This window comes from Homo sapiens, chromosome 1 (genome assembly GCF_000001405.40).
Source record: "Homo sapiens chromosome 1, GRCh38.p14 Primary Assembly".
Classification (NCBI taxonomy): domain Eukaryota; kingdom Metazoa; phylum Chordata; class Mammalia; order Primates; family Hominidae; genus Homo; species Homo sapiens.
This window is the reverse complement of record NC_000001.11, coordinates 173,317,559-173,340,276: the sequence shown is the minus strand read 5'-3', so window position 1 is coordinate 173,340,276 and position 22,718 is coordinate 173,317,559. Positions and strand designations below refer to the sequence as shown.

The 22,718-nt window shown below is 40.7% G+C and overlaps 1 protein-coding gene and 1 long non-coding RNA gene across 3 annotated transcripts in view, besides 1 other annotated feature; both read left to right on the top strand.

Annotated features, from left to right (window-relative positions):
• TNFSF4 (TNF superfamily member 4) overlaps positions 1 to 22,718 on the top strand; it is a 277,864-nt gene that overhangs the window by 110,457 nt on the left and 144,689 nt on the right. The gene's annotated exons all lie outside the window — the stretch shown is intronic.
• Positions 1 to 22,718, top strand: part of LOC100506023 (uncharacterized) — a 242,096-nt gene that overhangs the window by 136,879 nt on the left and 82,499 nt on the right. The gene's annotated exons all lie outside the window — the stretch shown is intronic.
• Positions 6,266 to 6,365: an enhancer, noted in NCBI's record as "active region_2100". NCBI's record gives its function as "activates an Ori minimal core promoter by ATAC-STARR-seq in GM12878 lymphoblastoid cells {active_cell/tissue: GM12878}" and the evidence as "EXISTENCE:reporter gene assay evidence [ECO:0000049][PMID:35858748]".

The following is a 22,718-nucleotide window of genomic DNA, read 5'->3' as shown; positions in this document are numbered from 1 at the left end:
GACAAGTCCCAATGCCTACAGTTGGCAAGCTAGAGATCCAGGAGAGCTGATGGTGTAGTCCCATTCCTGAGGATACTAGGCTCGAGACCTGGGAAAAACTGATGTTTCAGTTCGAATCCAAAGACAGGAAAAAACTGATGTCTCAGTTCAAAGACAGTCAGACAGAAGGAATTCCCTTTTACTTGCAGGAGATTTAATCTTTTTGTTCTATTCAGGTCTTCAACTGTTAGAGTGGGGCCCACTCACATCATAGTAAAGGGAGGGCAACCTTTACTATGTCTACTAATTCAAATATTTTATCTCATCCAGAAGCACCTGTACAGACACACCCAGAATAATATTTGAGCAAATATCCAGGCACACCTTTGCCTAGTCAAGATGACACATTAAGCTATCACAAGTCTACCCCTGATTAACTTGGCATCTATCTACATCTCCTTAAAACATATTTAATGTCCAAATAAAGACATAAACAAAGTCATATTTTGCCCTAACATGATACAACTATCCTATGTACAACAAAAAGCACACTAACCATTTCCCAGGAAAAGCAGGTAAGATTCCTGTGTGATGTTTATTCTTCTCCTTGATATCCCATAAATTAACTACTATGTTGTAAAATTAACAATACTTAAATACTATGATATAAAGTTACTATATCTTATGTTGCATGAGAAGAGAATAAGAGAGGGAAGAAAATAAAGATTTCATATATATACAAATTTTACTATGCATACAATCATATTCATAACAAAATAAGGATGAAATATGTCAATTACAGTACTGAATTCTGTAACATCACATTGTCATAGCTGGTATTTGTAATTACCTCCTTCTTTCACTACCCATTCAGAATTCCCTTTGCCTTTAGCTGTTTATTTTATTTTATTTTTTTGAGACAGGGTCTCCTTCTGTTACCCAGGCTGGAGTGCAGTGGCATAATCACAGCTCACTGCAGCCTCTAGCTCCTGGGCTCAAGTGAACCTCCCAACTTAGCCTCCTGATTAGGTGGAACTACAAGCATGCACCACCATGCCCAGCTAATTAAAAAAATTTTTTTTGTAGAGATGAGGTCTCGCTATGTTGCCCACGCTGGTCTCAAACTCTTGGGCTCAAGTGATCCTCCTGAAGTGTTGGGATTACAAGCGTGAGCCACTGCACCCTGCCTGATTGTGGTTCTTTATCTAATGAGATGATCCAAACTGTCATTCCTGAGGGGTCTAGGTCATTAGTAGTCCCGTGTGGATTATGTTGTTGTAGTTTTCCGCTGACCTTAATCACAGGGCATAGTAATACTAAGAATGCCTGAAGGAATCTCTTGTATTCCAGATTTTACCTCCATCGTGGAGTAGTAGTCCGATTTCCTTTTGGTAGCCAGGTTTAATCACCCCAGCCAGCACTGTAACTTCCTTTTTTACATGCTGTTTCAGAGGCAGGAGGATCCTCAAGTGTCTGGGCAGCAGTATTAACTTCCAATTCAATGGAATCGTTGTAGCATTCCACCCCCTGCAACTAAGACCTCTGGGCTGGCAGAGCATAAAGTTGTGGGAACAGGAAGCAAAAATTTTGCCAGTGGGTCACTGACAGTGATAGTGAGTGGTGCCACTCCCATTTGCATTCTTGATTTCTGGACCCATGAATCCCGGACCCTAGCTATGGGAGAAACAGCACTGTACATTGGACACTGATTTGGAGCATATACAGTGTTCTGGAGAACCTTGCCCTAGCCCTGCAAGGCATTGGTACCTAGCTGGTGCTATAACTGAGTCTTCAAAAAGTCATTCTACCATTCTGTCAAACCAGCTCTTTCAAGATGGTGGGGTACATGGTAAGATCAGTGAATTTCATGAGCATGGGCCCACTGACACACTTCATTTTCTGTGAAGTGAGTTCTTTCATCAGAAACAATGCTGTTTGAAATACCATGGCAGTGGATAAGGCATTCTGTAAGTCCACAGATGATAGTTTTGGCAGAAGCATTGTATTCAGGGAAGGCAGATCCATTTCCAGAGTAAATGTCTATTTCAGTAAGGACAAAGAGCTGTCCCTTCCATGATGGAAGCCATTTAGTGTAATCAGCCTACCACCAGGTAGCTGTCTGATTCCTGTGGGGGAATGGTACCATGCTGGGGACTCAGGGTTGGTCTCTGATGTTGGCAGATTGTGAAGTCGGCAGTGGTTGTCTTCAGCTAGGCCTTGGTGAGCAGAAGTTCATGTTGTTGAGTCCATGCATAACTTCCATCCCTGCCACTATGGCCTGTTTTTTCATGATCCTATTGGACAATGACAGGAGTGGCTGGAGAGGGAGACTGACTATTACCCACAGAACAAGTGATCCTATCCAACTGACTATTAACATCCTCCTCTCTGAGATCATTTGGTGAGCATTCACATGGGACACAAATATCTTCATGCATTTGGCCCATTCAGAGAGGTCTACTTCCTCTCTAAATTTCCTTGTCACCAATTTTCTAATCATGTTTCTTCCAAGTTCCTGACCGTCAGCCAAACCATTGGCCACAACCCATGAATCCATATATAATCACAAGTCTGGCCATTTCTTCATTCAAACAAAATGAACACTCAGGAGCATTGCTCAAAGTTCTGTCCACTGGGAGGATTTCCCTTCACCACTATCCTTCAGCAGTGTTCTGGAAAAAGGCTATAGTGCTGCAGCTGTCCACTTTTGGGTGGTGCCTGAACATTATATAGACCTGTCTGTAAACCAAGGCTCAGTTTTCTTTTCCTCTGTCAACTGGTCATTGGGAACGCCCAATGAAGCCATAGGTACAGACTAGAAGAGAGAGGGTAGTATAGCAGAAGTGGGGGCAGTGGACATACTTGTGCCTTCAGGACCTGCTTGGGCCTGACCTCATATTTACCACTTCCCTTTGATGATAGAGTGCTGCTTTGCACACCCAACTTTATGGCTTGGTGGGTCAGATAACAGCCAATTCATGATGGGGATCTTAGATTTCATGGTAACTTGGTGGCCCATAATTAAGCAACCAATCTCTGTTAAGGCCAGTAGCAGGCCAAGAGTTGTTTCTCAATAAGAGAAGTTATCTGTGGAGTATTGCAGGGTTTTGCTCCAAAATCCTAGGGGCCTGCACTGCAATACACCTATAAGAGCCTGCCAAATCTCCAAACAGGATTCCTATCTGTCACTGTCATTTTAAGTATGGTTGGATCTGCTTAATCACCTGGCTCAATAGCAGATTAGCTTTTACATTAGCCTGGATTTACTGCAGAGCCTTTCCTTTTTTGGAGCCCCACTCAAAACTAGCAGCTTTTTAAGTCACTTGGTAAATAGGTGGAAGTAACACACCTCAATGAGAAACATGTTGCCTCTAGACTCTAGAGGCCTAATAAGCATTGTGCCTTTTTTTTTGGTGGTAGGAGCAGCTAGATGCCATGACTGACCTTTACTTTTCGAAGCGATGTCTCCCACATGCTTCATACCACTGTATCCCTAAAAATTTCATAAGTAAAAGCCCCTGAATCTTTACTGGATTTATTTCCCACCCTCTGATGTGCAAATGTCTTACCAACAGACTAGAGTATTGCTACTTCTTGCTCACTAGTTCCAATTGGCATAATGTCATCAATGTAATGGACGAATGTGATATCCTGTGGAAGGGAAAAGCAATCAAGATCCCTGCAAACTAAATTGTGACACTGGGCCAGAGAGAGTTGTTATACCCCTGAGGTAGACAGTGAAGGTGTATTTCTGGCCTTGTGGGCTCAAACTGCTTGAAACTACTTCTGGTGTTCCTAGATAATAGATATAGAGAAAAAGGCATTTGCCTCATCAATAGCTGCATACCAGGTACCAGAGAATGTGATGATTTTCTCAAGCAATGAAACCACATCTAGTACAGCAACTCCAATTGGAGTCACCATCTGCATAAACTTAAGATAATACACTGTAATTCTCTGAGATCCACCTGTCTTTTGCACAGCCAAAATAGGCAAATTGAATGGGAGTGTGGTGGAAATCACCATCCCTGTGTCTTTCAAATCTTTAATGGTGGTAGTAATCTCTGCAATCCTTCAGGAATCCAGTATTGCTTCTGGTTTACTGTTTTCCTAGGTAGTTTCAGTGGCTTGCCCTTGGCCTTTCCCACCATAGTAGCCTCACTCCACAGGTTAGGCAACCAATGTGGGGATTTGGTGAGCTACTGAGTATATCTCTTAATTATGCATTCTAGAACTGGGAAAATAACTACATGATGGGGTCAGGACTGTGAGATAGACCTGAACTAAAACACTATTGATTACCTTATCTTCATAAGCCCACACTGTGGCTGAGGGATCAAAGTCACGTTTTGGTTCTCCTGGAAAATTATTGTCAGTTCAGAACCAGTGTTCAGTAGTCCTGGAAAGGTCTGATTATTTACTTTACCCCAATCTATAGTAACCTTGGCTAAATGCTGTAGGTTACTTTAGGGAAGGCTGGTAGAAATAGTAACAGTGTATATTTTAAGCAGTGTACCAGAGTTCTTCCTCAAGAAGACCTGCCTCTTCTTAATTGAAGGAATTGTGATCTGTTAACTGGCTTAAATCTAGAAATGATAGAGGGGACATCACCCTGTGTTTTTCTCATTCAGATTAGACTTTTGTTCACTTGACCTAGAACATTTCTACTTATATAGATCAAGTAAGAATTTACTCGAATTTAGTATGTTTCCCATCTATTTCATTTCTAGGAACAGCTGGTGCCTTAGGTGGGCCTGACTGCCGCCTTGACTCTGCTGTTTATTATGGTAATCACATCCCCCTTGCCTTTGGCTGTTGACTGCCACCCCAGGATCTGTTACCTCCATTGCATTTAGGTATCCTAATCCAGTGGGGGCTATTTCTACTGTAATGTCTGGCCCCTACGGAGAAGAGTGATCACAGAGCTCTTCAAAGATGCCAGGGCTCCTCTCACAAATTTATTTCTCACAGTCAAGATGTGCCTTCTAGAGCCTCTCATTATGGGTGAGTAGATCTTAAGTAACATATCCACTCTAACATTCCAATCTCCTTAAACCTTTGAATCTCTTTCTCTACATTGAAAGAAGGCAGGTTTGGCATTTCCAACTTGCTCTCTGTGGGCCACTGTTTGTTCCATGTTTCATCTAACGAACTAAGCAAGCAGTTAGAGTCAGGGAGTTTCTTAACTCCCTGAGCTGCAACATTAAATGAAGAATCTCTGCTTAGTGAGCTAGTATCAATAAATTTGGCCTGATTCAATTTTATTTCCTCCACCATTATCCCACAAACTCAATGTCCATTCCTACACATGTTCCTCTGATTTCTGCTTGTGTAAATGAGAAAACTTGAGTAGTTCTTTTGGAGTGCACACCACCTCCTCTTGGGTCACACTTTGTACTTCACCTTTAGGGGCCTGCTGGGATTTAAGTCTAGTTACAAGTCTAGAAGCGAAGAGGTGGTGGGAGTGGGTCCCCTGAGGGGAGCCAGCATTTCTTGAAAGGCAGCAGCCTCAAGGGAGACCATTACAATTTTCTAGGCAAGGCAAGGATAATTCTCTCATACTGCGGTGGACATACCTCTTCCACCGGCAAAGAAGACTCATCAGTTTAGGGGCCTAGTGTCCCCAGCTTCATCAGGGTCTTCTCACACATCCCCATTCCAACTTTCAGAATTTCACTACTTCCTAATCATTTTAACAGTAGACAGCCTATAGGCCTGAAAGTTCAACTTGTGTTGTAATTCAGCCAGTTGCAGGATGAGATTCTATGTTTAATTTTAATCAATCTCAACCCTGTGGCTACAGAACATAAGGAAACTCTGTTAGGGCAAATATAGAAGCTTTCACATTATTTGCACAGTTTAAGCAGAGAACTTAGGCTCATCATTTTCTTTTACCTTGACAGGATCAAGTGGCGAATGTCATTATATTCTTTAATTTGAGAACGATACCTGAAATATGTAGTCACTTAGATCCTTGCTTCTTATAAGTGGTTATTTGGGAGTATTTAATGCAGATATTTTGTGTCTCCCTATTGCCAGATTATGCTATGGACTATCAGTCCTCTGTTTACCACTAAAAATAGACACTAGCATCTTTAAATATAATCAGATTAGAGAGCCAATTCTAGAAACCCACAACCAATTAAGAACACGAATCCTTAGCATTCTGTTTCCTTAGAACCAATCTTAGTACCAGAATTCATTTCTCAGGGTTCACCAGAGAAACAGAACTAGTAGGATTAATTAATTAATTAATTAATAGAAATTTTGCTCACATGATTATGGAGGCTGACAAGTCTCAAGATCTGGAAGGTGGGTGAGTTAGCAAGCTGAAGACCCTGGAGAACCCTGAAACCCTGGAGAACCCTGAACCCTGCTGATATAGTTCCAATATGAGTCTGAAGGTCAGAAAACCAGGAGAGCTGATGTAGCTGGAGTCCAGTGGCCAGCAGACTTAAGACACAGGAAAAGCCTGTGTTTCAGTTTGAGTCTATCTTAGTCAGCGCATGCTGTCATAACAAAATACCATAGACTGTGTGGTTTAGACAACAGAAATTTTTTCTCACTGTTCTGGTGGCTGAAAGTCTGAGAACAGGGTTCCTGAATGGTAGAGTTCTGCTGAGAGCCCTCTTTTTGGCTTGTAGGTAGCTGCCTTCTGGCTGTGTCCTCAGGAGTTGGAGGGAGAGGGGTTCTGGTTTCTCCTCTTCTTATCTCCTCTTATGATGGGAATAGTGTTCTATTCCCATCACGGGGGCCCCATCCTCATGATCTCATTTAATAACCTCTCAAAGGCCCCACCTCCAAAGACCATCACATTATGGGCTAGGGCTTCAGCATATGAGTTTTGGGGGATACCAACATTCAGTCTATAGCAGAGTCTGGAAACAGGAAAAACCGATGTCTCAACGTGAAGGCAGCAGGTAGGAGGAATTCCTTCTGACTTGCAAGAGGGTCAGCTTTTATGTTTTTTTTTCAGGCCTTCAGCTGATTGGATGGGGCCCGTCCACATTAGGGAGGGCAATTTGCTTTATTCAGATTACTAACTCAAGTGTTAATTCATCCAGAAACACCCTCACAGACACACCCAGAATAAGGCTTGCCAAAATGCCTGTGTACCCTGTGTCAAGTCATATTGAAACATACAGTTAACTACACCTATCCTAGCCACCCTTCCTTTGTTGCCCCTTGTGTCCTGAAGGCCTTTCCATTTCTTCTGATCCATGTCTTTATCCTGGCCACTGCGTGATATCGCATGTAATTTTGAATGAACAGAATTGTCTGGGATTCTTTACTGGTTGTTTGTGTTGTGTCATTTACTAAATTCTAAACTTGTATATGGTGATGGCAGAGATTTTATTTACTAAACAGGAGATGTATATTTTCTATATCCTCCTCAATGGAAAGCAGGTGGATGTGCAACAAATGTTTATTTATGTATTTATTTATTTTTTTGAGATGGAGTCTTGCTCTGTCACCCAGGCTGGAGTGCAGTGGCCTGATCTTGGCTTACTGCCTCCCGGGTTCAAGTGATTCTCCTGCCTCAGCCTCCTGAGTAGCTGGGACTGCAGGTGCGTGCCACCACGCATGGTTAATTTTTTGTATTTTTAGTAGAGATGGGATTTCACCATATTGGTCAGGCAAGTCTTGAACTCCTGACCTCGTGATCCACCCGCCTTGGCCTCCCAAAGTGCTGGGATTACAGGCATGAGCCACCGCACCTGGCCCAACAGATGTTTATTTTATTTAATTAATTAATTTATTTATTTTGAGACAGAGTCTTGCTCTATCACCCAGGCTGGAGTGCAATGGCACAGTCTCAGCTCACTGCATCCTCCGCCTCCTGGGTTCAAGCAATTCTCCTGCCTCAGCCTCCTGAGTAGCTACATGTTCAATCCATTTGGAGAGTATGTTTTCAACCAGCTGGTTTCCCTGGAAGGCAGCTAGGGAAAGTGAGTGTTAGTAAGTTTGAGTCAGACAAGGGTTTGTTAGTCTTCCCCTCAGCCCTTGTGCAGCAACTCACTCCTCGGGCTGTGGGCCATGACAGAAAGGGAAGGACTACTTTGCTTCCTCACTCTTGCTGAGTGAGAGCAGCTGGATCAGAGGACAGTGAACGTCTGCTCAGGATTACAGTCATTCAGGCATACCTAGGAGATGTCCCTAGGCCCCAGACATTGCTTGAGAAGCTGGGAGTAGCTTACATTTGTCTGAGGCAGGGTTTCTTAACCTTATCACTATTGGCATTTGGGCTGGGTAATTTTTTTGTTGTAAGAAGCTGTCCTGTACATTGTAGGATGTTTGGCAGCACCCCTGGCCTGGACCACTTACTAGATGCCAAGTAGCACCTGCACTCTGAGATATGACAACCAAAAATGTCTCCAGATATTGGCCAATATGTCCTGGGAACAAAAGCATTTGAGAACCACTGATCTTGAGCTTTGTTATTTGCAAAGAAGTTTCACCTATGTTATCATGTCTGAGAGGCATTATAGCTCTGTAAATCAGGCAGAAATCTGTTCTTTTCTCTATTTTACACAGCTGGACAAGTTGCAGGAAAAGAAATAGAACTCATGTCTTCTGACTGCAAACTTTTTCTCTTTATCTTAAGGCTCCTAGAGATAAGTAAGTAAAAGTGATAGTAACTTGCCCCCTGAAGGAGATGCCAATTTTGAGTTGAAGAACAAAAATCTTTGTTAAATTCCAAAAGTTTTGATGAAGGGACACCATTAATCACTTTGCTCTTTTCATGTGTTGGCTCTTAACTTTATTTTGATGAACTTTCATTTAGTCCTTTTGAAAGGAAAGTAGTTTAGATTTCCTTTCTGAAGTGTCTAGTTTTATTTTTGACTACTAAGGTTTCCAAATCTTTCATGTCCTAATTAAATGTGTTCACTTCCTCTTGAAGATGCGTCATTGTGATAACAGTGTGTATGTACCTTCCCAGTGGTGTTTTCCAAGAAAACCAAAATACAATACTGCTTTTAAAAACAGAAGTTTGCAGTAATTGTTACTGAGACTCGATCAGAAAACTGGAAGTACTGAAATACGAATTCGAAAGGCACAACATTCTGAGACTATACATCTTTTACTTTCTGGGTTTTGAAAAGAGGAAAGAAGGCTGGGTGCAGTGGCCGATGCCTGTAATCCTAGCACTTTGGGAGGCCAAGGCGGGTGGATCACCTGAGGTCAGGAGTTCGAGATCAGCCTGGCCAACATGGTGAAACCCCGTCTCCACTAAAAATACAAAAATTAGCCTGGCATGGTGGTGGGCGCCTGTAATCCCAGCTACTCAGGAGGCTGCAGCAGGAGAATTGCTTGAACCTGGGAGGTGGAGGTTGCAGTGAGCCGAGATCGCGCCATTGCACTCCAGCCTGGGCAACAAGAGCGAAACTCTGTCTCAAAAAAAAAAAAAAAAGATAAGAAAAGAAAAGAAGAAAGAAGCATATTATTTTAAATTGGCATCTGAAGGTAAAGAAGTAAAATTTGCTAAATAGGGGTAAGAATATACTGAAGTTTGACATTTTAACTAGATTAAAATACATTTTTTCTATCTATATTTCTTCTCCTTTGCAATGCACTTTCACTATGCTTAGATATCAGATTTAAAATTTATAATTTTGGAACCACATTGCTAGTCATAATTATAATTATTAATATCCAGTTAGGACCTACTTTGTGCTCTACTGTATTTCAGGAGCTTCAGTTTTTCAGGGAGGCAGAGTGCTGAAGCACAGGATATGACTAAGCAAGTTGGCAACATCTGCTTTTTCTGTTAGAAAATGCTTTGACCTTTTCCAGATGCTGGACATTTTGCAAATTATGTAGCCTCTTTGAACCTCAGTTTTATCACTTATAAAATTAGGTATTAATTATTTTGTGAAGACTAATGAAAAAATTATGTGCAACCATATTAATATTAACTTAGTATTAATATTAATAATTTATTAACAAAACATATATAACAATATATAATATACCATTAATATTGTCAATTAATATTTAGTATTAAAATTGTGATGTGATATAAAAAATAATAAAAATTAGTGAAAGCATTATTAATACCAATATTAATTAACATGAATGGTAATCATTATTTTTGAGTATGTTGAATTGCTTTTGAACAGTTATGAACATTTCTGGCCAACAAAGTGGGTTGCTATTTGAGGAGTTCCCTATTTTTCTCCAAATTGGACTTATTTATTTTTTGTGTTTTTAATTTGTGGTTTTATTTTTGAAAGTACCAGTGTTACTCCCCTATGGCCTGAACAAATCCTATGGACAGGAGCTGATCTGTTTACATTACACAAATATGACCGAAGAAAGGGTAGAGTTTATGCATCACTGATTATGCTTATTTTGGGAAAAATGTCTAGACCACAGGTGATGACACTGGCATTTTTAAGGAAGTGCATAACTAAATTGTTGAGTCTGGTATATCTCAGTAAAATGTTCCTGCATTTTTTTTTTCTTTTTTTGTGGTTGAGACTCAAATGTCTCATGGTTAAAAAAAACCATATTTCTTCTTGAAATTTCTTAGTAGCAACACAGAAGGCTGTTTACAGATAACAGAACCTATCCTACGGCCTAATATTTATTGGGTCTCAATAATTGCCTATTGAACTGAAGAAGGTGCTCATATTACATGAAGTTTGTTACAGTTGTTAAATTTGTTTTCCACTTGTATATGAGGTGAAAAAAATCCCCTAAAACCCTGCTCTAATAGACAACTATATCTAATTTTGCATTGCTTTTCTTTTTTTTGGTATTTTATATAGCCGCAGTACATTCTCTGTTTTCACTCTCCTTTTGTAGTTGGCCCTCCTTAACCATGGGCTTTGCATCTGTTGATTCAACCAACTGCAGATAAAAAGTATTTTAAAAAATTGCATCTGCACTGAACATGTACAGGCTATTTTTCCTTGTCATCATTCCCTAGACAATACAGCATAACAAGTATTTACATAAAATTTCCATTGTATTAGGTAGTATAGGTAATCTAGACATGATTTAAAGTATATGAGAGGATGTGCATACGTTATATGCAAATACAATGTCATTTTATATAAAGGACTTGAGCATGTGTGAATTCTGGTATCAGTGGGAGGTCCTGGAACAAATCCCCAAAGGATACCTAGGGACAGCTGTACTTTAATATTACAACATAAGCAGTTTTGTTGTTCTTTCAGGCATAATTTTAAAAAGATGCATAATAGTTTATTTAGTAGATACCCTATACTTTCTATAATTGTTTACCTGTTATTGGGAACTTGTGTTGCTTTCCAATATTTTAATGTTACAAAAATGCTGCAGTGAACATATTTACATAGAAGGCAATTTTCAATAGTATTTCATAATCCTTACTTAAAATGGCTTTCCACGTGTGGTGGAATTACTGGGCCAAAGGGCACAAGACATTTTTAAGGTACAAAACATTTTTTTTTTCTGAAGCACAAAAGTTTCTAATTTGATTTAAATTGAGGTTCAATTTATCTATTTTTTTTCTTTAGTTGTTTGGGCTTTTGGTGTCATAACACAGAGAAAAATGGACAAATCCAAAGTCATGGCAAAATAAATCTACGTTTTCGTCTAGCAGTTTTATTTATTTTTATTTTTTTAAAATTTTACTTTAAGTTCTGGGATGCATGTGCAGAATGTGCAGGTTTGTTACATAGGTATACATGTGCCATGGTGGTTTGCTGCACCTATCAACCCATCATCTAGGGTTTTTTTTTTGGGGGGGGGTAAACTTTTTTTTTTATTACGAAGATAAACTTTGTATTTTTTTATTTTATTATTATTATACTTTAAGTTTTAGGGTACATGTGCACAACGTGCAGGTTTGTTACATATGTATACATGTGCCATGTTAGTGTGCTGCACCCATTAACTCGTCATTTAGCATTACCTATATCTCCTAATGCTATCCCTCCCCCCTCCCCCGACCCCACAACAGTCCCCAGTGTGTGATGTTCCCCTTCCTGTGTCCATGTGTTCTTATTGTTCAATTCCCACCTATGAGTGAGAACATGCGGTGTTTGGTTTTTTGTCTTTGCAATAGTTTGCTGAGAATGATGGTTTTCAGCTTCACCCATGTCCCTACAAAGGACATGAACTCATCATTTTTTATGGCTGCATAGTATTCCATGGTGTATATGTGCCATATTTTCTTAATCCAGTCTATCATTGTTGGACATTTGGGTTGGTTCCAAGTCTTTGCTATTGTGAATAGTGCCGCAATAACCATACATGTGCATGTGTCTTTATAGCAGCATGATTTATAATCCTTTGGGTATATACCCAGTAATGGGATTGCTGGGTGAAATGGTATTTCTAGTTCTAGATCCCTGAGGAATCGCCACACTGACTTCCACAATGGTTGAACTAGTTTACAGTCCCACCAACAATGTGAAAGTGTTCCTATTTCTCCACATCCTCTCCAGCACCTGTTGTTCCCTGACTTTTTAATGATCGCCATTCTAACTGGTGTGAGATGGTATCTCATAGTGGTTTTGATTTGCATTTCTCTGATGGCCAGTGATGATGGGCATTTTTTCATGTGTTTTTTGGCTGCATAAATGTCTTCTTTTGAAAAGTGTCTGTTCATATCCTTTGCCCACTTTTTGATGGGGTTGTTTGTTTTTTTCTTGTAAATTTGTTTGAGTTCATTGTAGATTCTGGATATTAGCCCTTTGTCAGATGAGTAGGTTGCGAAAATTTTCTCCCATTCTGTAGGTTGCCTGTTCACTCTGATGGTAGTTTCTTTTGCTGTGCAGAAGCTCTTTAGTTTAATTAGATCCCATTTGTCAATTTTGGCTTTTGTTGCCATTGCTTTTGGTGTTTTAGACATGAAGTCCTTGCCCATGCCTATGTCCTGAATGGTATTGCCTAGGTTTTCTTCTAGGGTTTTTATGGTTTTAGGTCTAACATTTAAGTCTTTAATCCATCTTGAATTAATTTTTGTATAAGGTGTAAGGAAGGGATCCAGTTTCAGCTTTCCAGTTTTCCCAGCACCATTTATTAAATAGGGAATCCTTTCCCCATTGCTTGTTTTTGTCAGGTTTGTCAAATATCAGATAGTTGTAGATATGCGGCGTTATTTCTGAGGGCTCTGTTCTGTTCCATTGGTCTATATCTCTGTTTTGGTACCAGTACTATGCTGTTTTGGTTACTATAGCCTTGTAGTATAGTTTGAAGTCAGGTAGCATGATGCCTCCAGCTTTGTTCTTTTGGCTTAGGATTGACTTGGCAATGCAGGCTCTTTTTTGGTTCCATATGAACTTTAAAGTAGTTTTTTCAATTCTGTGAAGAAAGTCATTGGTAGCTTGATGGGGATGGCATTGATTCTATAAATTACCTTGGGCAGTATGGCCATTTTCACGATACTGATTCTTCCTACCCATGAGTATGGAATGTTCTTCCATTTGTTTGTGTCCTCTTTTATTTCATTGAGCAGTGGTTTGTAGTTCTCCTTGAAGAGGTCCTTCACATCCCTTGTAAGTTGGATTCCTAGGTATTTTATCCTCTTTGAAGCAATTGTGAATGGGAGTTCACTCATGATTTGGCTCTCTGTTTGTCTGTTATTGGTGTATAAGAATGCTTGTGATTTTTGCACATTGATTTTGTATCCTGAGACTTTGCTGAAGTTGCTTATCAGCTTAAGGAGATTTTGGGCTGAGACAATGGGGTTTTCTAGATATACAATCATGTCGTCTGCAAACAGGGACAATTTGACTTCCTCTTTTCCTAATTGAATGCCCTTTATTTCCTTCTCCTGCCTGATTGCCCTGGCCAGAACTTCCAACACTATGTTGAATAGGAGTGGTGAGAGAGGGCATCCCTGTCTTGTGCCAGTTTTCAAAGGGAATGGTTCCAGTTTTTGTCCATTCAGTATGATATTGGCTGTGGGTTCGTCATGGATAGCTCTTATTATTTTGAGATACATCCCATCAATACCTAATTTATTGAGAGTTTTTAGCATGAATGGTTGTTGAATTTTGTCAAAGGCCTTTTCTGCATCTATTGAGATAATCATGTGGTTTTTGTCTTTGGTTCTGTTTATATGCTGGATTATGTTTATTGATTTTCATATGTTGAACCAGCCTTGCATCCCAGGGATGAAGCCCACTTGGTCATGGTGGATAAGCTTTTTGATGTGCTGCTGGATTCCATTTGCCAGTATTTTATTGAGGATTTTTGCATCAATGTTCATCAAGGATATTGGTCTAAAATTCTCTTTTTCTGTTGTGTCACTGCCAGGCTTTGGTATTAGGATGATGTTGGCCTCATAATATGAGTTAGGGAGGAATCCCTCTTTTTCTATTGATTGGAATAGTTTTAGAAGGAATGGTACCAGCTCCTCCTTGTACCTCTGGTAGAATTCGGCTGTGAATCCATCTGGTCCTGGGCTTTTTTTGGTTGGTAAGCTGTTAATTATTGCCTCAATTTCAGAGCCTGTTATTGGTCTATTCAGAGATTCAACTTCTTCCTGGTTTAGTCTTGGGAGGGTGTATGTGTCGAGGAATTTTTCCATTTCTTCTAGATTCTCTAGTTTCTTTGCGTAGAGGCATTTATAGTATTCTCTGATGGTAGTTTGTATTTCTGTGGGATCGGTGGTGATATCCCCTTTGTCATTTTTTATTGCGTCTATTTGATTCTTCTCTCTTTTCTTCTTTATTAGTCTTGCTAGCGGTCTATCAATTTTGTTGATCTTTTCAAAAAACCAGCTCCTGGATTCATTGATTTTTTGAAGGGTTTTTTGTGTCTCTATTTCCTTCAGTTCTGCTCTGATTTTAGTTATTTCTTGCCTTCTGCTAGCTTTTGAATGTGTTTGCTCTTGCTTCTCTAGTTCTTTTAATTGTGATGTTAGGGTGTCAATTTTAGATCTTTCCTGCTTTCTCTTGTGGGCCATTTAGTGCTATAAATTTCCCTCTACACACTGCTTTGAATGTGTCCCAGAGATTCTGGTATGTTGTGTCTTTGTTCTCGTTGGTTTCAAAGAACATCTTTATTTCTGCCTTCATTTCATTATGTACCCAGTAGTCATTCAGGAGCAGGTTGTTCAGTTTCCATGTAGTTGAGCGGTTTTGACTGAGATTCTTAATCCTGAGTTCTAGTTTGATTGCACTGTGGTCTGAGAGATAGTTTGTTATAATTTCTGTTCTTTTACATTTGCTGAGGAGAGCTTTACTTCCAAGTATGTGGTCAGTTTTGGAATAGGTGTGGTGTGGTGCTGAAAAGAATGTATATTCTGTTGATTTGGGGTGGAGAGTTCTGTAGATGTCTCTTAGGTCCGCTTGGTGCAGAGCTGAGTTCAATTCCTGGATATCCTTGTTAACTTTCTGTTGCGTTGATCTGTCTAATGTTGACAGTGGGGTGTTAAAGTCTCCCATTAATATTGTGTGGGAGTCTAAGTCTCTTTGTAGGTCACTAAGGACTTGCTTTATGAATCTGGGTGCTCCTGTATTGGGTGTATATATATTTAGGATAGTTAGTTCTTCTTGTTGAATTGATCCCTTTACCATTATGTAATGGCCTTCTTTGTCTCTTTTGATCTTTGTTGGTTTCAAGTCTGTTTTATCAGAGACTAGGATTGCAACCCCTGTCTTTTTTTGTTTTCCATTTGCTTGGTAGATCTTCCTCCATCCCTTTATTTTGAGCCTATGTGTGTCTCTGCACATGAGATGTGTTTCCTGAATATAGCGCACTGATGGGTCTTGACTCTTTATTCAATTTGCTAGTCTGTGCCTTTTAATTGGAGCATTTAGTCCATTTACATTTAAGGTTAATATTTTTATGTGTGAATTTGATCCTGCTATTATGATGTTCGCTGGTTATTTTGCTTGTTAGTTGATGCAGTTTCTTCCTAGCCTTGATGGTCTTTACAATTTGGCATGTTTTTGCAGTGGCTGGTACTGGTTGTTCCTTTCCATGTTTAGTGCTTCCTTCAGGAGCTCTCTTAGGGCAGGCCTGGTGGTGACAAAATCTCTCAGCATTTGCTTGTCTGTAAAGTATTTTATTTCTCCTTCACTTATGAAGTTTGGTTCGGCTGGATATGAAATTCTGGGTTGAAAATTCTTTTCTTTAAGAATGTTGAATATTGGCCCCCCCGCCCCTTCTGGCTTGTAGGGTTTCTGCCGAGAGATCCGCTGTTAGTCTGATGGGCTCCCCTTTGTGAGTAACCCGACCTTTCTGTCTGGCTGCTCTTAATATGTTTTCCTTCATTTCAACTTTGGTGAATCCGACAATTATGTGTCTTGGAGTTGCTCTTCTCGAGGAGTATCTTTGTGGCGTTCTATGTATTTCCTGAATGTGAATGTTGGCCTGCCTTGCTCGATTGGGGAAGTTCTTGTGGACAATATCCTGCAGAGTGTTTTACAACTTGGTTGCATTCTCCCTGTCACTTTCAGGTACACCAATTAGACGTAGATTTGGTCTTTTCACATAGTCCCATATTTCTTGCAGGCTTTGTTCATTTTTTTTAATTCTTTTTTCTCTAAACTTCTCTTCATGCTTTATTTCATTCATTTTGTCTCCCATCGCTGGTACCCTTTCTTCCAGTTGATCACATCAGTTACTATGGCTTGTGCATTCATCATGTAGTTCTCGTGCCATGGTTTTCAGCTCCATCAGGTCCTTTAAGGACTTCTCCTCATTGGTTATTCTAGTTATCCATTCATCTAATTTTTTTCAAAGTTTTTAACTTCTTTGCCATTGGTTCGAACTTCCTCCTTTAGCTCAGAGTAGTTTGATCTTCTGAAGCCTTCCCCTCTCAACTCGTCAAAGTCATTCTCTGTCCAGTTTTATTCCACTGCTGGTGAGGAGCTGCGTTCCTTTGGAGGAGGAGAGGCACTCTGCTTTTTAGAGTTTCCAGTTTTTCTGCTCTGTTTTTACCTTTGGTCTTTGATGATGGTGATGTACAGATGGGTTTTTGGTGTGGATGTCCTTTCTGTTTGTTAGTTTTCCTTCTAATAGTCAGGACCCTCAGCTGCAGGTCTCTTAGAGTTTACTGAAGGTCCACTCCAGACCCTGTTTGCCTGGGCATCAGCAGCAGTGGCTGCAGAACAGTGGATATTGGTGAACTGCAAGTGCTGCTGCCTGATCGTTCCTCTGGAAGTTTTGTCTCAGAGGAGTACCCGGCCGTGTGAGGTGTCAGTCTGCCCCTCCTGTGGGGTGCCTCCCAGGTAGGCTACTCGGGGGTCAGGGACCCACTTGAGGAGGCAGCCTGCCCATTCTCAGATCTCAAGCTGCATGCTGGGAGAACCACTACTCTCTTTACACCTGTCAGACAGGGACATTTAAGTCTGCAGAGGATTCTGCTGCCTGTTGTTTGGCTGTGCACTGCCCCCAGAGGTGGAGTCTATAGAGGCAGGCAGGCCTCCTTGAGCTGTGGTGGGCTCCACCAAGTTCGAGCTTCCCTGCCGCTTTGTTTACCTACTCAAGCCTGAGCAATGGTGGGCGCCCCTCCCCAAGCCTCGCTGCTGCCTTGCAATTTCATCTCAGGCTGCTGTGCTAGCAGTGAGCGAGGCTCCGTGGGTGTAGGACCCTCCGAGCCAGGTGCAGGATTTAATCTCCTGGTGTGCCGTTTGATAAGCCCATTGGAAAAGTGCAGTATTAGGGTGGGAGTGACCTGATTTTCCAGGTGCCGTCTGCCACCCCTTTCTTTGACTAGGAAAGGGAATTCCCTGACCCCTTGTGCTTCCCAGGTGAGGCAATGCCTCGCCCTGCTTCAGCTCATGCACAGTGTGCTGCACCCAGTGTCCTGCACCCACTCTCAAGCACTCCCCAGTGAGATGAACCCGGTACCTCAGTTGGAAATGCAGAAATCACCGTCTTCTGTATTGCTCATGCTGGGAGGTGTAGACTGGAGCTGTTCCTATTCGGCCATCTTGGCTCCACCCCCCATCATCTAGGTTTTAAGCCCTACATACCTTATCTATTTGTCCTAATGCTCTCCCTCCCCTTGCCCCCCGCCCCCTTACAGCTAATGCACATGGGGCTTAAAACCTAGACGCTTCCCTCTGTGTGTCCATGTTCTCATTGTTCAACTCCCACTTATGAGTGAGAATATGTCATGTTTGGTTTTCTGTTCCTGTGTTAGTTTGCTGAGAATGATGGCTTCCAGCTTCATCCACACCCCTGCAAAGGACATGGTCTCATTCTTTTTTATGGCTGCATAGTAGTCCACGAGTGTATATGTGCCACATTTTCTTTATCCAGTCTATTATTAATCGGCGTTTGGGTTGGTTCCAAGTCTTTGCTATTGTAAATAGTGCTGCAATAAACATATGTGTGCATGGGCCTTTATAGCAGAATGATTTATAATCCTTTGGGTATATACTCAGTAATGGGATTGTTGGGTCAAATGGTATTACTGGTTCCAGATCCTTGAGGAATCACCACATTGTCTTCCACAATGGTTGAACTAATTTACACTCCTACCAAGAGTGTAAAAGCATTCCTATTTCTCCACATCCTCTCCAGCATCTCATTTCCTGACTTTTTAATAATCGCCTTTCTGACTGGCATGAGATGGTAAGTCATTGTGGTTTTGATTTGCATTTCTCTAATGACCAGTGATGATGAACCTTTTTTATATCTATTGGCTGCATAAATCTCTTCTCCTGAGAAATGTCTGTTGATATCCTTTGCCCACTTTCTGATGGTTTTTTTTTTCTTGTAAATTTAAGTTCTTTGTAGATTCTGTATATTAGACCTTTGTCATATGGGTATCTTGCAAAAATTTTCTCCCATTCTGTAGGTTGCCTGTTCATTCTGATGATAGTTTCTTTTGCTGTACAGAAGCTCTTTAGTTTAATTAGATCCCATTTGTCAATTTTGGCTCTTGTTGCTATTGCTTTTGGTGTTTTAGTCATGAACTCCTTGCCCATGCCTATGTCCTGAATGGTATTGCCTAGGTTTTCTTCTAGGGTTTTTAGGGTTTTGGGTTTTACATTTAAGTCTTTAATCCATATTGAATTAATTTTTGTATAAGGTATAAAGAAGGGGTCTAGTTTCAGTTTTCTGCATATGGCTAGCCAGTTTTCCCAACACCATTTATTAAATAGGGAATCCTTTCCCATTGCTTGTTTCTGACAGGTTTGTCAAAGATCAGATGTTTGTAGATGTGTGGTGTTATTTCTGAAGCCTCTGTTCTGTTCCTTTGGTCTATATATCTGTTTTGGTACCAGTACCATGCTGCTTTGGTTACTGTAGCCTTGTAGTATAGTTTGAAGTCAGGTAGCATGATGCCTCCAGCTTTGTTCTTTTTGCTTAGGATTTTCTTGGCTATATGGGCTCTTTTTTGGTTCCATACGAAATTTAAAGTAGCTTTTTTCTAATTCTGGGAAGAAAGTCACTGGTAGCTTATTGGGAATAGCAATGAATCTATAAATTACTTTGGGCAGCATGACCATCTTCACAATACGGATTCTTCCTATCCATGAGCATGAAATGTTTTTCCATTTGTTTGTGTCCTCTCTTATTTCCTTGAGCATTGATTTGTAGTTCTCCTTGAAGAGGTCCTTCACATCCTTTATAATTGTATTCCTGTGTATTTTATTCTCTTCATAGCAATTGTGAATGGGAGTTCACTCATGATCTGGCTCTCTGTTTGTCTATTATTGGTGTATAGGAATGCTTGTGATTTTTGCACATTGTTTTTATATCCTGAGACTTTGCTGAAGTTGCTTATTAGTTTAAGGAGTTTTTGGGCTAAGATGATGGGGTTTTCTAAATATACCATCATGTCATCTGCAAACAGAGACAATTTGAGTTCCTTTCTTCCTATTTGAATACCCTTTATTTCTTTTTCCCGCCTGATTGCCCTGGCCAGAACTTCCAATACTATGTTGAATAGGAGTGGTGAGAGAGGGCATCCTTGTGCCAGTTTTCAAAGGGAATGATTCCAGCTTTTGCCTATTCAGTTTGATATTGGCTGTGGATTTGTCATAAATAGCTCTTATTATTTTGAGATATGTTTCATCAATACCTAGTTTATTGATAGTTTTTAGCATGAAGGGATGTTGAATTTTGTCAATGGCCTTTTCTGCATCTATTGAGATTCTCATGTGGTTTTTGTCATTGGTCCTGTTTATGTAATTGATTATGTTTATTGATTTGCGTGTGTTGAACCAGCCTTGCATCCCAAGGATGAAGCTGGCTTGATTGTGGTGGATAAGCTTTTTGATGTACTGCTGGATTCAGTTTGCCTTCATTTTATTGAGGATTTTTGTGTCCATGTTCATCAGGGATATTGGCCTGAAAGTTTCCTTTTTGTGTGTGTGTCTCTGCCAGGTTTTGGTATCTCCATCCAGTTTTGTGCCCTTGATGGAGAGGAATTGCGATCATTTGGAGGAGAAGAGGCATTCTGGTTTTTGGAATTTTTAGCGTTTTCATGCTGGTTTTTCCTCATCTTTGTGGATTTATCTACCTTTGATCTTTGAGGTTTATGACCTTTGGATGGGGTTTTTGTGGGGGGGTCTTCTTTGTTGGTGTTGCTGTTCTTGCTGTTTGTTAGTTTTTCTTCTAACAGTCAGGCCCCTCTTCTGCAGGTCTGCTTCAGTTTGTTGGAGGTCCACTTCAGACCCTGTTTCCCTGGGTATTACCAGTGGAGTCTGCAGAACAGCAAAGATTGCTGCCTGCTCTTTCCTCTGGAAGCTTCATCCCAGAAGGGCGCCAGCTTGATTCCAGATGGAACTCTCCTGTATGAGGTGTCTGTCAACCCCTGTTGGGTGTTCTCTCCCAGTCAGGAGGCACAGGGGTCAGGGACCCACTTGAGGAGGCAGTCTGTCCCTTAGCAGAGCTGGTACACTGTCCTGGGAGAATCACCCTTGTCAGGATCAGCTGCTCTCTTCAGAGTCAGCAGGTACAAAAGATTAAATCCGCTGAAGCTGTGCCCACAGCCACCCCTTCCCCCAGGTGCTCTGTCCCAGGGAGATGAGAGATTTATCTGTAAGCCCCTGACTGGGGCTGCTGCCTTTCCTTCAGCGATGCCCTGCCCAGTGAGGAAGAATCTAGAGAAACAGTCTGGCCACAGTCTCTTTGCTGCACTGTGGTGAATTCGGCCCAGTCCAAACCTCCCAGACCCTTTAGCACTGTCAGGGGAAAACCACCTACTAAAACTCAGTAATGGCGAGTACCCCTCACCCCACCAAGCTTGATTGTCCTAGCTTGACTTCAGATTTCTGTGCTGGCAGTGAGAATTTCAAGCCAGTGGTTCTTAGCTTGCTGAGCTCCATGGGATTGTGACCTGCTGAGAGAGAACACTTGGCCCCCTGGCTTCAGCTGCCTTTCCAGGTCAGTGAATGGTTCTGTCTCACTGGGGTTCCAGGCATCACTGGGGCACAAAATAACTCCTGCAGCTAGCTCAGTGTCTGCCCAAACAACTGCCCAGTTTTGTATTTGAGACCCAGGACCCTAGTGGTGTAGGCACATGAGGGAGTCTCCTGATCTCAGTTGGAAATGCTGAAATCACGTGCCTTCTGCATTGGTCTGGCTGGGAGCTGCAGACTGGAGCTGTTCCTATTCGGTCATCTTGGACACCTTCTCTATTACAAAACATTTTTAAGTCTTTTGATACATATAGCCAAATTGCTTTCTGAAAGGTTTTTACAGCTCTTCATATAAATTCTTGCTTTCTTACCCTTACCAGAACTAGGTATTCCCATTAAAGTTTTTCTGGTATATAGAAATATATTCCAATATTTTAGTATGCATATTATTAAATATTGATGAGGTTGAAATTTGAAAAGTATATTTTGTTGATCATTTGAATTTCCTTTGTGAATTTTCCATTCTCTTCCCCCATTCCCTTGACCTTAAGAATGCCTACCTTGCTTTGCTCCATTAGTGAACTGATAATGGCTTTAGGAGTGAATTGTTCAGGGAGGAAGGAAAGGGAAGAAGGAGAGAATGAGTTTTCTATTGTTTTAAAAATGAGAAATAGACCTCATTAGGAGATTTTATAGTATATGTCTCTACTACAGGCATTACCTGCCACCACGTCCGGCTAACTTTTTGTATTTTTAGTAGAGATGGTGTTTCACCATGTTAGTCAGGCTAGTCTAGAACTCCTGACCTCATGATCCACCCCCCTTGGCCTCCCAAAGTGCTGGGATTACAGACAGGCATGAGCCACCATGCCCGGCTGATTCTTTAAACATTTGGTAGTAATTTTATTTGCCTAATATGAAGACTGGAAATGTGCATATTTACAAATAGCCAACCAATTGTCCAGCTACTACGTGTTGAAGTGCTATTTTTCTTTCTCAGTGATTTGTGATCCTTCCTTTATAAAGTTTGTGTGGTGTGTATTTTTCAGCCATTTGTTCTATCCTGATGACATTTACCAGTATTTGTAATTATTGTAATATTTATAATTCGTACTGATGGTGGTGTTAGTTTCCCTTTACATTTCTTACTTTTCAGAGATAACTTTTCAAAACACTATAATTGCCTATTTATTCTTGGGATGGACATCAGAATATTTTTTAAATTGCCCTCTCTAACGGAAAAATCCTATTGATACTTTAATTGGAATTTTGTCAAAATCTACAGTTAGTATCAGAATTGAACTTTGAAAATAGAATTAGGTTTTCCTATCCAGGAATAATATTCTTCTTTCCATTCATTGCAGGGCTTTTTTGGTATGGTTTTGTGGTTTTATAGTTTCTTCATGTGGATGTTTTGTTCAAATTATTTCTTAAGTATTATATTTTGTTGCTATTATAAATTAAATCCTTTTT